This window comes from Homo sapiens, chromosome X, assembly GCF_000001405.40.
Source record: "Homo sapiens chromosome X, GRCh38.p14 Primary Assembly".
NCBI classification, from domain to species: Eukaryota; Metazoa; Chordata; class Mammalia; order Primates; family Hominidae; genus Homo; species Homo sapiens.
In genome coordinates this window covers 9,074,936-9,091,963 of record NC_000023.11, presented here as the reverse complement: position 1 = coordinate 9,091,963, position 17,028 = coordinate 9,074,936, and the positions used below count along the sequence as shown (strand labels likewise).

General features: G+C 40.5%; 1 annotated feature.

Annotated features, from left to right (window-relative positions):
• Positions 387-516: an enhancer, noted in NCBI's record as "active region_29397". NCBI's record gives its function as "activates an Ori minimal core promoter by ATAC-STARR-seq in GM12878 lymphoblastoid cells {active_cell/tissue: GM12878}" and the evidence as "EXISTENCE:reporter gene assay evidence [ECO:0000049][PMID:35858748]".

The following is a 17,028-nucleotide window of genomic DNA, read 5'->3' as shown; positions in this document are numbered from 1 at the left end:
GTACAAGCTGCCCTGCCATTTGGACCATATGACCCAGCAGATCCAATGGTGCTTGAGGTGTCAGTAGCAGATAGGGATGTTGTCTGGAGCCTTTGGCAGGCCCCCATAGGTGAATTACAGCAGAGGCCTCTAGGATTTTGGAGCAAGGCCCTGCCATCTTCTGCAGATAACTACTCTCCTTTTGAGAGACAGCTCTTGGCCTGTTACTGGGCTTTGGTAGAAATTGAATGTTTGACTATGGCTTATCAAGTCACCATGCGACCTGAACTACCTATCATGAACTGGGTACTTTCTGGCCTATCTATCCATAAAGTTGGGTATGCACAGCAGCATTTCATCATCAAATGGGAGTGATATATACATGATCTGGCTCAAGTAGGTCCTGAAGGCACAAGTGAGTTACAAGAAGAAGTGGCTCAAATGCTCATGGTCTCCATTCCTGCCACCCTGCCTTCTTTCCCCCAGCCTGTACTGATGGCCTCATGGGGAGTTCCCTATGATCAGTTGATAGAGGAAGAGAAACTAGGGCCTGGTTTACGGACGGTTCTGCACGATATACAGGCACCACCTGAAAGTGGACAGCTACAGCACTACAGCCCTTTTCTAGGACATCCCTGAAGGACAGTGGTGAAGGGAAATCTTCCCAGTGGGCAGAAGTTCGAGCAGTGCATCTGGTTGTGGGCTTTGCTTGGAAGGAGAAGTGGTCAGATGTGCAATTATATACTGCTTCATGGGCTGTAGCAAATGGTTTGGCTGGATGGTCAGAGACTTGGAAGAAGCATGATTGGAAAATTGGTGACAAAGAAATTTGGGGAAGAGGTATGTGGATGGACCTCTCTGAGTGGTCAAAATTGTGAAGATATTTGTATCTCATGTGAATGCTCACCAAAGGGTGACCTCAGCAGAGGAAGATTTTAATAATCAAGTAGATAGGATGACTCGTTCTGTGGACACCACTCAGCCACTTTCCCCAGCCACCCCTGTCATGGCCCAATGGGCCCATGGTGGCAGGGATGAAGGTTACACATGGGTTCAGCAACATGGACTTCCACTTACCAAGGCTGACATGGCTACAGCCACTGCTGAGTGCTCAATTTGCCATCAGCAGAGACCAACATTGAGCCCTCTCATATTCCCAAGAAATATTTGTGCTGACAGTAGACTGATTTTTTTTTTGGTTTGAATTTAGGCAAATAGACTGGGTTCTTTGAGTACTGAATATGCTTCAATGTCATCAATCCTCTTTGACCACCAAAAATGCCAGGAAACATTGTTCAGAGGCATGTGGCTTGTTCCCAGGGAGGGTTAGGAAAATTAAACTCTCACAACCCTGTCCAGGAAGCAGGAGGGTATTCTTGAACTGAAAGTCAACTGTTTCTTACACAAAAAGGGACCTGGGCATTAAACCACAATAGAGAATGATTAAAATCTATTTTTGATTTTTGCAGGTAAATGTTTAACATAAAAGGTGGTATGTAGCATGTTCTGGTCATTTTTTTCTTATTCTCTTAAACAAAGTCATTTGTTTGCAGATGTTTGACTTTACATCTTTCCCCTCTTGCTTCCTAAATTCACCTTCCTCCCAGAGACTTTTGCAGGAGATCAGAGTGATTTTTGCAAGCTTGAAGATTCATATGCTTCCTGGGGGTAGACTTGTGGTTTTGATTCGAAGGTCGTTGTGTATTGCTAGCATAACTCTTGAGTACTGGAGTAAACAGCAAACATCCTTATCATAAATAATTCCTTAATTGTATTAGCCATATATTCATGGAAAATTGTTTTGCTAACAGTAAGGTCTTCAAAAAATTATGAGGCACGGTACCTTTCTTTAGTGAGTTTATCAATCACAGTTGAGAGATGAAACTTAGATACATGGTGCAATGTGGGATACAGACAAGGTGTGATGTCTGCTCAGGATTTGTGAAAGATATAATGATCACAGAAGGAAAATCTTTGATTTATCTTGCTCAGGCACTTCCTCTCCAATTGCTATTTTTAGCAAAATGCTTGCTTTTTCCCCCTCTACTTGCATAAGCTGTCAAAACCGAGTTTCAACACTATGAGTTGTCACGTTAAGGCAGCAGACTTTAAAATCCATTAACCTCCCATCTCAGCCTGACATGTAGGCTATCCTCAGGGGGATGAAGAAGTGTGCCAGGGATCTGAAAAGCCATAGGATAAACAATCCTAGAGCTACAGTTGCAATTTAAAACATCCTCACCATACTAAAACTCACATGGCTGTAAAATTACTTAGAAGGCAAAATTTGCATTAATTTCTTGAATAAAGCATGATTTATATAAAACATACAATTTCCTTAAAAGAAATGTCTTGCTGCTAGGATTGCCATGGCCTGCCTCTCTCTCTCTCTCTCTCTCTCTCTCTCTCTCTCTCTCTCTCTCTCTCTCCAGTTCCTCAGGGAGATTCATTCGGCTTTGCTGCTGTCAGGAGGAGCACTCGAAGGAAAGATTTGAGAAGCTCTGTTAGTTAAACTTCTCATTGACCTCAGACGTTCTGTGTTCTGTCTCTGGCCAAGGGTGGGGGTGGCGAGAAGTCCAGGCAGTTGTGTCCTTTCTTGCAAAGGGGTGGGTAGGGGGTTGGGAGGAAACTTTCCCTTGTCTCAATACTTGGATCATGAGTCCTTTTCCTAAAATATTTATACACTAGATATGAAGTGGCAGGTGAGTGGGTTTGAAATTTCTCCTGGCTTGGTAGTCTCAAAATGGCAAATTTCTCTGAAAAAGAAATGGTGTAGTCTTATTCTGATCTTGTGTTTATTAACCCCACCCACATTACATTTCTGTGTTTTACTTGATTTTACAGATTGGTTAATTTCTGCAGTTACAACACAGCTACTTCTTTTCCCATTACTTTTAAAAAGGGAAATAAGCACAGCCAACTCTGCCAGTTTTGTCGGAAGCATCTTCTTGCACAGAAAAACAAGTCATTAGAAATGGCACCTGAGTCCTCAGGGGACAGTCACCACTATTCCTGTCCTACTTTCACCAGAAAGCCTTTCTAATGGGAATTTGGATGATTAATCCCACCAGGAGGTTCCTTCTAGCGAAATTTGCATTCGTGCTTGTAAATATAGCAGCAAGAATATCATCTCCTATACTATAAGCTGTACTCTCTCTAACTCCTTGTGCTAACTTGAGATTAAACAGGGTGAAGGCACAAGAGGTGAAAGAGACCATTTCTACACACCCAGTGTCTAGGGCATATTTTCAGAAAGTTATGTTACATTTTAGCTGAATAGGAGACAATTGGAGCTAAACATTTGGAAATACTGTTTTTAAAGCACAGAAGATTTAGAATATCTAGTTTATACTTACTCTTGCTTAGATAAAGTGCTACTCAATACCTGGCGCGGTGGCTCATGCCTGTAATCCCAGCACTTTGGGAGGCCGAGGAAGATGGATCACTTGAGGTCAGGAGTTCGATACCAGCCTGGCCAACATGGTGAAACCCTGTCTCTGCTAAAAATATAAAACAATTAGCTGTTGTGGTGGCACATGCCTGTAATTCCAGCTACTTGGGAGGCTGAGGCAGAAGAATTGCTTGAACCCGGGAGGTGGAGGTTGCAGTGAGCCGAGATTGCGCCACTACACTCCAGCTTGGGCAACAGAGTGAGACTCTGTCAAAAAAAAAAAAAAAAAAAAAAAAAAAAAAAAGCTGCTCAGTTGTTAGTGGCTTATGAAAATATTTATTGCTAATGAAGTTCTAATTCTCAGGGAATATGCCCCAGTGTCCAAGAAGTATTTTTCAATTCAATTACTACACCTGCAGCTATTTAGCTTTAATCTTGTTTTGGTGAGTCATTTAAGCTATCTCATCCCTTAATTTACAAATATCCTTTACTGTACATAGGGCATATACAAATGAAAACTGTACCACAAAATTAATGCTGAATTGTAGAATAGATATAAATTCTACTTAGAACAAATAGGAACTGTGTCCAATACACTTCACTGAACAGATGAAGAGAGTTAGGGCTGCTCTCTGCACAGATGAACATATCTGGGTTCATAAGAGCTTCAGGGGTTCTAAGAGTTAGATTTCCTCATTCTCTGATTCTGAAAGAGGTGCCAGGGAGAGGAACCAAATGTTTCCATAACCTTGAGTGCAGTTCCCCATATCATAAAATATAAATGAGGCCATGGAAGGAGCGTGGCCTCAGAAGGAAAGAAATTGTGCTTTAGTAACGGTTGGAAGAAAAGTCAGCTCTACTTCCTAGTTTCCTGGCTATTGAGGTTGTCCCATACTGAAGCCAGTGCATATCAGAGGAGAAAGTCAGCTGTTACCTTAGCTATGTAATGCATTGTAATAAGGAAAGTCTCCAGTTCTGGCTGGGTGCAGTGGCTCATGCCTGTAATTCCAGCACTTTGGGAGGCCGAGGCGAGTGGATCACATGAGGTCAGGAGTTCAAGACCAGCCTGGCCAACATGGTGAAACCTCATCTCTATTAAAAATGCACAAATTAGCCAGGCGTGGTGGCATGTGCCTGTAATCCGAGCTATTTGTGGGGGGAGGGCTGAGGCAGGAGAATTGCTTGAATCTGGGAGGTAGAGGTTGCAGTGAGCCGAGGTATTGCACCACTGCACTCCAGCCTGGGCGACAGAGTAAGAACCTGTCTCAAAAAAAAAAAAAAAAAAAAAGTCTCCAGTTCCAAAGACAGTACTGTTTTTACCCATTTCAGAAAGGTTGTCTTGCAAGCCAGTGTTGTCTTCTATTACTACATTGTCAATGACTGTATTTCTATATTTTCTCATTTCTAGAAAGTTATTTGACTTATTTTCAAACAATCTTGTCCTTTTCATATAGTGTCCTATTCTTTTGTTACAGTTTGTATTTTTTTTAAATCTGTGTTAAATATAATAAAAAGAGCTTAAAGGACCTCTTACATAATTATCTGGGGATTTTAGGACACCAGTTGTGCTTCTTATAGTGTTCCCTTTCCTTATGTACCTTTGAATTTTTTAGTATGAGCTCATTTTCAGTGGGGGTATTTTTTTCCCTTAGTGCTCCCTGTAGGCTTCTGGAGGGATGTTATAGAATGATTTTTGCATTTGCTTCTGTTGTGCTGATGAATTTTCTTGTATTTTGATTCTTATACTGTGCATTTTATCCAAATTTTGACTGTCATTTCTTGTAGTGGTAATTTCCCCCCAACTCAGAGGTCCAGGAAGATGGTAATAGGGCATTTCCCTCTAGTAGAAAGATGTTCTAGTCGATCTTTTATGGACAGACAGCTCCTTTAGGATTGAATTCTATGTTGTCACCTCATAAGACCTAAGGCTATGTGTCCTATTCCACTAACCCCTCAGCTGTATTCCCTGAGATACACTTTGGTCTAATAACCCTCTCTCTTCCCCAGAATTTAGAAACCATGATTACCACCTGATAGTGGAGATGAGCTGCTAAATCAGTTGGGATTATTTAATGGCATCACCCCAGATGAGAACATGAAGATCTCATCCCAACTGTACACATGGCCAATAGTTTTTCATTAGCTGTCAGAGCTTTAGGTAGTTTCATAATTCTAGAGTAAAGGCAGCAAAGAAGCACAAAAATGCAGTCAAGAATACCAGAAATCCTTAGAGACACCAAAGTCAGATTATGATGCTGTGTGATTTCAGGGAATTAGGGTCTTCTTCAGAGCAGGTAGACTTAATGGCATGGCTCTCCAGATGATGGGTGTCTGGAGATGCTACAGATAGATTCTTAACCAAATGTGTAATTAGTTTTCTTGAACAAGAAGAGATACAGCACACGGAGATGCTGGATTGCAGGTTTTTAGTTTTCACCGTATTACTAAATATCCCATTTGACTTTACGTCATATATATCCAAGGATATGCTTAGGAAGGAAGGTTAATAGCTGGACTCTGTGGGCCACAGGATACAATGATTTGAATCTGGAAGGCAACCCAGAGAAAGCAATGATTTGGATCTGGAAAGTCGGATTACAAAGCCTGTTCAGAGGACCAACTCTTTCTCTAAAACCACAGTTCAGAAATGAAGTAGTAAGACTGTGGCAGGTATTGAAGTTGGCATTTTTTATTATAACTTTTATTTCAGGTTCAGGTGTACATGTATAGGTTTGTTATATAGGCACACTGCATGCCATGGCAGTTTGGTATACAGATTGTTTCATCACCCAGGTAATAAGCGTTGTACCCAATAGGTATTTTTTTCTGATCTTCTCCCTCCTTTTACCCTCTACCCTCAAGAAGGCTGTGGTGTCTCTTGTTCCCCTCTTTGTGTCCATGTTACAGGAATCAGCAGCTGTGGACATATCTGGCAAGGCCTTGATCAAACACAAAGAATGTCAGGCAGCAAAAGTATTAGGCAGCCCAGAAAACAAAAGAAGGGAGGATCACAATATGCCATAAGTTTAGTGAATTGTGGCTACCATGGAAAGACCACAAGTCATGCTATGGCTGGTCTTGCCTTGGCCCATCTTGAGTGGCAGAAGAGAGTAAGTAGACTTGGAGTTATGATGAGTGTTTTGTAGTCATTGTCCTTTTATGCTTTTCTCTGTACAGCAACCACTACAGATGTCCATGCTATTTAGAAAACCTGATGGTTAATATATGAGGTTTGACTCTAACTGAGGTGCCATTACAAGCAAAAAGCAGAACCACACTACCTTCTAGTACTAGCATACGGTCATCCCTTGGTGTCCGTGGAGAATTGGTTCAAAGACCCCCCAGGATACTAAAATTCGAAGATGTTGAAGTCTTAAAGTTCCCCTGGGAAACATATGGGTATGAAAATCTAACCCTCCTTATCTGCAGGTTCTGCATCCAGCACATATTGTACTTCTGATCCTCAGTCGGTTGAATCCAAAGATGTGGAATCCATCCGACTGTACTTGGCTAAATTGCTTAATAATGGTTTGTGCTTAATCTTACATGATAATTCCAGACCTGGGGGTTCTGTGGATGTTAATCTAGCAACAAAACCATATTATGGTTGATGTCTCCCATACTCTAGACTTTTCCCTCATGGTAACAAGGTGGCTGCTGACATCCCATATATAGTCAGGTATCACTTGAAGATGGGAATACATTCTGATAAATTCTTTAGGTGATTTATTAGTTATGCAAATGTCATAGCATGTGCTTAGGTTTCTAGATGGTATAGTCTACAGTAAACTGAGGCTTTATGCTAAAGCCTATTGCTCCTAGGCTACAAACCTGTACAGCATGTTACTGTACTGAACACTGTAGACAATTGTAACACAGTGCTAGTATTTGTGTATCTAAACATAGGTAAACACAGAAAAGGTCATGCATTGCACTATGTTGTTTCAAGGGCTGTAAGCCACTAGGTGAGAGAAATTTTTCAGCTCCATTTTAGGGACCAGCATCATATACGTGATCCATTTTTCACTAAAATGTTATGCTGCGCATGACTGTAGAACATTTTCAAATGTCAGCATCAAAGACCAGATGGAAGCAGGGAGGATTTCCTCTTGATTGTCTCTCTTTTATCAGGGAAGAAAGTATTTTTTTTAGGATCTCATCCTGCTTGCCCCAATATAATCCATGACTTTACTAGGTGGGATTGGATTACCTCTATGTCCCAGCTTCAAGAAAAGCAAGGAAAAGAGGCAATTGACATTTTTTTAGTATCTATGTCAGATTGCTTGATTTGCTTTGATCTAGAGCATTTAGCACTTTTGGTAGCCAGATTAAGGGTTCCCAGAGTTGTGCATATCCTAATCCCTGGAGCCTGCAAATATGTTGCCTTGCATGGCAAAGGAAACTTTGTAGATGTGATTAAGTTAAGGATCTTGAAATTTGGAGATTAGCTTGGATTATCTAGGTGGGCCCAGTGTCATAACAAGAGTACTTAAAAAAGGGAGGTAGGAGGGTTACAGTCAGAGAAGAAGATGTGAGGATGGAAGCAGGATCCAAGTGATGTGATTGCTGGCTTAGAGAAGGGAAAAAGACTGCAAGCCAAGAAGGCAGGCAGCATCTAGAAAATTGAAAAAGGCAAGAAATGGATTCTAGAAGGAGCACAACCCTGTCAACACCCTAACTTTAGCGAAATGAGATTGATTTTGGACTTCTGACATTGAAAATTGTGCAATACGACCCTTGCGTTGTTTCAAGCTATGAAATCTGTGGTAATTCGTCACAGCAGCCCTAGGAAACGAATACACCGACATCTAAATTTTTAAATCACTCTATTTATTTTGTATATTATCTGTCTTCAGCTGCTGGAATGTGGATACTGGGACGGCAGAGAATTTTGGCTACTTTTTTTTTTTCTGACTTTGGCCCCAGTGGTTTGGACATGGCGTGGCATAAAGGAGGCTGTCCACACAAATTTACTCAATGGATATCCTGGTGGAGGGCTGGCTCAATAGTCCACACAGAAGGATTGAGGAGTCTACCAACTTACCTCCCAGGTCATTTATTAGTTCCTTTCAATTGCATTTGGATCACACCGAAGTTTAAGAACTGCTGCTTCTCAGTTTGAGCTGGATGTATTTAATTTCTTTCTTTCTTTCTTGTTTTGTTTTGAGACAGAGTCTCACTCTGTTGCCCAGGCTGGAGTGCAGTGGCGTGATCTTGGCTCACTGCAGCCTTGACCTCCTGGACTCAAGTAATCCTCCCACCTCAGCCTCCTGAATAGCTGGGACTGCAGGTGCATGCCACCATGCCCAGATAATTTCCGTATTTTTTTGTAGAGATGGAGTTTCTCTATGTTGCCCAGGCTGGTCTCTAACTCCTGGGCTCAAGCGATCTGCTCCACCTTGGCTTCCCAAAGTACTACAATTATAGGTGTGAGCCACCATGTTTGGCCTAATTTTATTATAATTAACTTCTGCTAAATGTGTAGGTTAAGTTAATTTGTTTTTCTTGTTTATATTTCAGACATGTATGAGAATTTAAATGAATCTTATCTACTCTCCACATAGAAAGGCTTTTGAAATTTGTGGGCAATGTTAAGGCAGCAATACAGACAGATTTTAAGGACAGCAGGGAAATTTAGAATAATCTTATTTTAAAATAGTTTATTTTTAACCTGTTATAACTATGTCCATCTTGTTTAGAGAAGTTCAGCTGTATACATCTTTGTTTCCATTGGCTTACTTCCATCTTGAGTCTCGTTGATGACTCTAGAGAGTACACCGCTCTTTTTCTTGAAGCCCTGGTGAACATTTCCATTGGTGGAGTAGAGTTTATAAATGTGCTGGTAATTTCTTTTTCAGGAACATATCCTGGAGGCTTAGTGAAACCAGCTCTCTCTTCCCATCAAATGAGAAGTCTCTGTGTCTTCAAATGAAAGCCAAGAAAGCACACCCCAGAGTCGAATACAACAAAACATCAGGCAATGCCTTTGAAGAGCAGTTTTCTTTGCCAACCAAGGTACCCCTGCGTTTGTTTCTGCATTGGTTCTCTCTCTCTCTCTCTCTCTGTCTTTCTCTCTCTCTCTTTCTCTCCTCCTCCTCCTCCTCCTCTTCTTCTTCTTCTTCTTCTTCTTCTTCTTCTTCTTCTTCTTCTTCTTCTTCTTCTTCTTCTTCTTCTTCTTCTTCTTCCTTCTTCTTCTTCTTCTTCTTCCTTCTTCTTCTTCTTCTTCTTCTTCTTCTTCTTCTTCTTCTTCTTCTTCTTCTTCTTCTTCTTCTTCTTCTTCTCCTTCTTCCTTTTTCTCTCTCTCTTTCTCTCTCTCTCTCATAGTGTATTTTACTGGCCTTTCCCTGGAGTTTGGCAGGTGTTAGCTAAGAAACTTAGATTTAAATATAGCTTTCATTATTATGACATACATCCCACTTGAAGCACTCATTGCTTCAATGTGTTGCCTTGACTGAAATAATGCTATTCTGCTTTTATTTTTTTTCTTCCATAGTATGGGTCTTTGATAGTCTTCAGATAGTGTTGCAAATTTTTAAAATTATTATTCACTGAACTTAGAGGGCTCTGTTGTTTCACAAACTGTTTCCATCTATTTTCCCTCATCCTTTCCATGGTGTTTTCTGCTGGGGTGATTGCATCATTTTGCTTCATTCCACAAAGTCCAGCCCAGTGGGAACTGGAAAGCCTTGGTGCAAGCCCTGCCTTCAGCAGCAAAGACATCCACGACACTACTCAGCTTCTGCGTGGTTTACCAGATGGCCTTGGGGGAAGACAACCCAAAATCTTTGGTTTCAAGGGCCTTGATCTTATTAGGGGAATCAGGACCAAATGGAGTGAGGAACACACATAGGAACATACCTGAAAAGTGTTAGAGCAACAGTAGCTCCCTATGCATAAAGAAAATGGATCTGGTTCTGGAACACGGGCTGGATTTCTGGATTTCTGCAGTCGGCTACTACACCTGACCCAGGGAAATTAAGTCTTAATTTGCTGGAAGGGCTGCACTCAGTAGGAACATCTTGCATTGCTCTGGTTTCACTTGTTTCATTTCTACTGCATTGTCAGCTATTGTGGGCATGCCAGTGAGGATTGTTTATGAGTTTTGGAATTGTATCCTAGACTGTGACCCCTAGAATAATTTTATTATCTTCATATTTCATTATGGAGAGATTCAGTGGAGAGCCAGGCTCCAGGACAACTGAGATACCACTTCCATTTGGGATTTTAATTAGCTTAGAAGTGATTTATGAGGATGTACTAAAAAGTTCATCCGTAAACAATGCTGTGATTGAACTTAGTGAAGCCACATTAAACTGGTGGTATCTTATGCCAAGTTGACATATTTGCAGCATTTTGGTTTTCATTATTTTTTAAAAACTGATAACAAGAGAGCAAAACCATAATAAAGAACCCCTCCAGACCGTATCAAACCTCACATTTACATAAAGACAGGCAAGATAAATGAATGTTACAGCTATAGCCTTACTTTGAATCAAGTAAAACAATGGGCAAGAATTATTTGGGGCTGGAATGAACTTGTGATTCCAAGCATGGAGTCTATGTCTGGATATCTAGTGACTTCATTTTTTCCCTAACTGTGTGTTATGGGTTAAATTGGGTCCCCCCAAAATTTATGTGTCAAAGTCCTTCCCCACCCCAGTAAATCAAAATGTGATCTTATTTGGACATAAGGAGATAGGGTTTTTATAGAGGTAATCAATTCAAAGTGGTTGGGCCTGAATCCAATATGATAGGCACATACAGAGGAAAGATGCAGTGAAGAGATGGAGAGAGAAAGAAACCATCTATGAGCCAAGGAGAGAGGTGGACCTGTTATAGCCCTCAGAAGGAACCACTCAGACTCCAAAACTGTGCAACAATAAATTTCTGTTAAGTTATCCAGTCTGCGGTACTTGGTTACCACAGCCATAGCAAACTAATACATTATAATAAGTTCTCCCTTCTCCACTGACTGTTGGCCGGATTGTGGATTTTCTATGCCTTTTCCTCCCCTGGTTTGTGAAGTATATTTTTAATTTTTTAGATACTGAGTAGTGGTTCTATTTCATGGCAGGTAGACAGATCAACACTAACTGTATTAGCTATGCATTGCTGCATAACAAGTTACCCCCAAACCTAGCAGTTTAAAACAATATACATTGAATATCTCTTTATTATGATTTATTATCTCACCACTTCCATGGGTCAAGAATCTGGATGCAGCTTAGGTGTATCCTCTGACCCTGGGTCTCTTACAGGCTGTGCCCAAAGAGTTGGACTGCAAAGTCTCAAGACCCAAGTGGAGGAGCTGTTTCTAAACTTGTTTGTGTGGCTGATGGCTGGATCCAGATCCTTTTTCCTGCCTCCTGTTTGTGTTGTTGAAAATCAGCTGTTAGTATGTCACTCCTTGGGGGCAATCTTTCTTTTTTTCTCTCTTTTTAAGATTTTCTTTGATGTTCTCAGATTGTATTGTAACTTGCCTAGGTGTACATTTTTATTTATGAATTTTCCTTGGGATTCACTTGAACTCTTGGATTTGTAGATTGATGTCTTTTATACATTCTGAAAAAAAAAACTTCTCTTTTCAAATAATTCCCCTGCCCTATTCTCTTTTTTTCCCTTCTTCTGGGATGCTGAGAAAATGTTTTAGTCAATTTCTTCAACCTTTTCTATCTTCTATAGGTTTAAACTTCTCTTTCGTCTTTTTAGTTACTTCGTTTTGCTGTACTGCATTCTGAATAATGTCTGCCTTATCTTTCTGTTACCTGATTCTCTCTTCTGCCATGTTTGTCTGTTGTTAAACTCATCTACTGAATTGTAAATTTCTGTTATTTTATTTTCCATTTCTGTTGGGTTTGTTTCAAGTCTCCTGGGTCGCTTTTTATAGTAGTGAGTTACACATTATCACGTTAAACATACGAGCAAGTTTGTTTTAGATTCAGTGTCTGATGATTTCAATACCTGAAGATTTTGCATGTCTGTTCTTTCTGTCTTTTTACTTTAATTCTCCCTCATGGTGCCTATTTTTCTTGTGTGCTTACGATTTTCTTTTCCTTGTGAAATGTGTTTTTTTCCCATGGAAAATTATTTGAGAATTCTCTAACACTTAAGTGGGAGGTGTGTTCCACAGAGAGCACTTGAACTTGTTCTGCTAGATACTGGGGGTCAGGTGTTGCTGTACAAAATGCTTGTAAGCCTTTTGGGATAATTATGGAAATCAGTAGTGACACTCAAAGTTTTTTATAGTATCTTGATATTGCTGCAACATTAATATGCTATGTTTGTCTTCACTCTTTTTCCATATCTTTTTTTTTTTTTTAATTTGAGATAGGGTCTCCCTCTGTTGCCCAAGTTGGAGTACAGTAGCATGATCTCAGCTCACTGCAGCCTCCACCTCCTGGGCTCAAGTGATTCTCCCACCTCAGCCTCCTGAGTAGCTGGGACCACAGGTGTGTGCACCGCCATGCCTGACTAGTATTTTTGGTAATTTTAGTAAAGATGGGGCCTTGCCATGTTGCCCAGGTTGGTCTTGAACTTCTGAGCTCAAGTGATCCACCCACCTTGGCCCCTCAAAGTGCTGAGATTATAGGTGTGAACCACCGCACCCAGCCTCCATATAATTTTTGAGCACTTCATTTTTATTGTATTTTATTAAAGTATGAGTTCCCATGGGCTGGAAATTAAACAAAGAGCCCATCTCTTCACCACAGATTGTTTTATACATATTATTTTGAATTAACTAGGTAGCTTAACATTTTTGAACATCCAAAGTGACATGAATTTGGGTTGCACACCCACATGAGTACTAGTTTGTGTTATAGCTTTTTAATTTATATTCCTTCATTGCTTTCCTTGGGACCTGGGAAAGTGTCCTATTCATCCCTTCATGGTGGAGGTTTTGTGTGAGTTTATTTTGCCTCAAACTTACACTAAGGGTGTAGGGCTTTGGAGTCCCAGGTTTGAGGTAGAAGGGTTTGTTAGATTTCTTATACTGGATGAGCCCTGGGTTTTAAAATTTTATTTATATATATTTTTTATATATTTGGGGAGTAAAAATGCAGGTTTCTTACATGGATCTATTGTGTAGTGGTAAAGTCTGGGCTTTTAGTGTACCCAAATAGGGTACATTGTACCCAGTAGGTAATTTTTCAACCCTCCTCTCCCTCCCACCTTCCCATCTTTTGGAGTCTCCAGTGTCTATTATTCCACACTATATGTGCATGTGTACCTGTAGTTTAGCTTCCATTTATAAGTGAGAACACGTGGTATTTGACTTTCTGTTTCTGAGTCATTTCACTTAGGATAATGGCCTCCAGGCACATCCATGTTGCTGCCAAATACATGATTTTGTTCTTTTTTATGGCTGAGTACTTTTTCCATGGTATACACACACCACATTTTCTTTATCCAATTCCACGTTGATGGACATTAGGTTGATTCCATGACTTTGCTATTGTGAATAGTGCTGTGATCAACATACCAGCACAGCTGCCTTTTTGATAGAATGATACATTTCCCTCTGGGTAGATATCCAGTGGTGGAGCCCTGCATTTTGTTTTCTACTTTTTGAGTCCTGTGAGGAATTAGAATCTAAAACTTAAATTTTCCCAGTTGACCAAATGCCCTTAGGGGAAAATGTCTTTAGTATTTTACTATTGTTTCTTGATTCTTAGCTTCACTTTGATTTTGGCCTGTAAAATTTATATTGTCTTGTCAGCCCTTTGATATGAGGTTAAAGGACTCTCACAAGTTGGCAGGTTAGGGGGCAGAGTGTAAATCCCAAATCAGATCTACAGAGACCATTTTTTTTTTTTTTTTTTTTTTTTTTTGGAGACAGGATCTCACTCTGTTGTCCAGGCTGGAGTGCAATGACACGATCATGGCTCACTGCAGCTTCAACCTCCTGGGCTCAAATGATCCTCCTATCCTCCTATCTCAACCTCCCAAGTAGCTGGGACTGCAGGCACACGCCACCATGTCCAGCTAATTTTTATATTTTTTTGTAGAGATGGGGTTCACCATGTTTCCCAGGCTGGTCTGGAACTCCTGGACTCAAGCAATACACCTGCCTCGGCCTCCCAAAGTGCTGGGATTACAGGTGTTAGCCACCATGCCCAGCTGGAGTCTCTTCTTATTAATAGTGCCCTTCCTACTGCATTCAGTTAAGTAGAGCTTTCTGATTTCAGCTAAAAGGGTGACATCTTGGGGGTGCATATTGCTTACCTGACATTTGCTTTAGGTACAGAAATATTATAAAACAACGTGAAAACAATAACACATATTACCGGAAAGTATACGGAAAAATGGGAATTTTCGTATATTGCTGATGATAATCTGAATATTTATATCCCTTTTGGACATGAATCTATTGATTACTGTTACAATGTTAAACATATACACAAAGTGTAATTTAACATAGTAATTTAACACTGGCATGCACACACATGCACAAGACTGTCAAAATATGAGCTAGTATATATGAGATAACCACATTAGGACATTACATAAAATTATGTGTGCACACGTATACATAGATTTTAAAATAAGATAAACTGGCCAGAAAGACATTCTTTAAGGTACCCAAGAGTTGTCTCAGTGACTGGTCTGGGGCTCAGGAGAAGGAAGCTGTTTCTCCTCTCGCTGTTTTCCAGGTAGTGAAGGTGGGTACGAGCTGTCTGTGGGCCTCCTCTGCAATTTTTCCAGCTCTCTCCTCCCTTCCAACTCTTAATCAATACCTGGTAATAGAGAAAACCTCACATGCACAACCTCTCCCCTGGGGCACAGCCCCGGGAGCACTGCAGAAGATGTATTATTAGCCACATGTAGTTATTACATTTGCAAACCCATGGTGAGGTTTGAGATGCTACTTCCTGTACTTGATAAGCACATATTGAGGGCCAAATGTGTGCTAGATGCTGTGCCAAACGCTAGGCTCACACAACCAAATAATATAGAACTGTTGCCTCTAACTTGCTCATAGATTTGTTAGGAATTTAGAAGACAACCTTTAGAAGACAAGCAAAAAAGGTTTTCCTTAAGAAACTGAGTAGCAGGTATATCTTACAGACCTTTCGATAAAGAGAAGAAAGAAAATGTAGTCTCTTTTTCCGTTATTCTCTAAAGCAGCAGAGCTGACCATAGTTTAAAGCCACTAATGGTGCGTCACCACGTGGACGCCTCTGTGTTTAAAGACATGATTGTTGTTCAATTAACTTTAAATAGTGCAGAGGCAGGTGTTGGGTTATAGGCCTGTTTCTGTAGCACCTGAGTGCAGTAAACATGCCTGTTTCAATCAAGTGAATAATACACATGCTATTGCTTTATTTCTGCTGCCATTTGTAGAATCATAAAACAATAACAACAAAGAGGAGCAAAACGTTAAGAGCTTGAAGAACCTTAATAATCATGTAGAGTCATGTTTCCCATCCTTGTAGAGTGTGAGAGGCCACTTTAAGATTGGGATTTCTAGGATGATAGTCACCGTACTTCCAGTGTTTGTTTACACACACACATATATGTAGAATGCTCGTTTCTTTGTCTATAATACTGATGTCTTCAGAATCATTGCCTTACCATGGAGAACACTGATGCTCTCCAGCCTTCTTGATTCAGATGATGAATGTTGGTATCAGAAAGGCAAGGTGACTTGGCCAAGATTACCTGGGAATAGATGTGGACAGTGAAGTTGATGCTGCACCTTTTAAACCTGTGCCGTTCGGTGTGGCAGCCACCAGCCCTACAGTGCTATTGAGTGCTTGAAAAGGGGTGAGTCAGAATTAAGGTGTGATGTAAGTGTAAAATGCATACACGAGTTTCAAAGACTTAGTACAAAAGAAAGTGAAATATCTCATTAATATCTTTTATATTGATTACACATTGAAATGATAATATTTTGAGTATGTTGGATTAAGTAAAATGTATTATTAAGATTAATTTCATCTGTTTGTTTTGACTTTTAGACATGGTTACCAGAAAATTTTAAATTGTGTATGTTGCATGCATATTTCTATTAGACAACATTGGTTTAGAGAGTACTGATTGTTCTCTACTGGATTCCTACCCAAAGTACCTTCCTATATCATTAATTTATTCATTCATTCACTCATTCATTCATTTAATAGCAGAGGTAACTTGTTTCTTGATGAATCTGTATGGTGTTTTGGTGGTTTGTTTTCAACCTCCACTATTTGGAAAAGTATCACCATAATCTTTATTTCTTGAAATAACTGGCTTGAAGTGGTTTAAGAAAACAGTTCACTCCATGAACAAAAAGCAGTAATAGATACTGTAGCCATGCCCTCAGGGGGTAACCAAGAAGAAAACCAGAGTGGCCAAGGGCTGTCAGGTGGGTCCAGTCGCTGGAGACAGCCCTCTACCCCTGTGATCCTCAGGGGTGCACAGCACAGACTGAACCTCATGTGTGGCTTAGGGCTTCTCTCTCCAGCCGTGCCTCTGCTTTTCATTCTGCACATCTCCTCTCTTGGACATGCTAGAGGCCACATCACTATGTAACTCCTAATTCTCTCCCTAGGTCCCCTCACCCCACCACGTGCCACTCCACCTACCTGCTTCTCCTGCCTCTGCTGCCATGGGCTGTGCAGGCATCATTCTTTCAGATTTCCACACTCTTCCATGTTTGGCCTTTTGACCATGCTTTT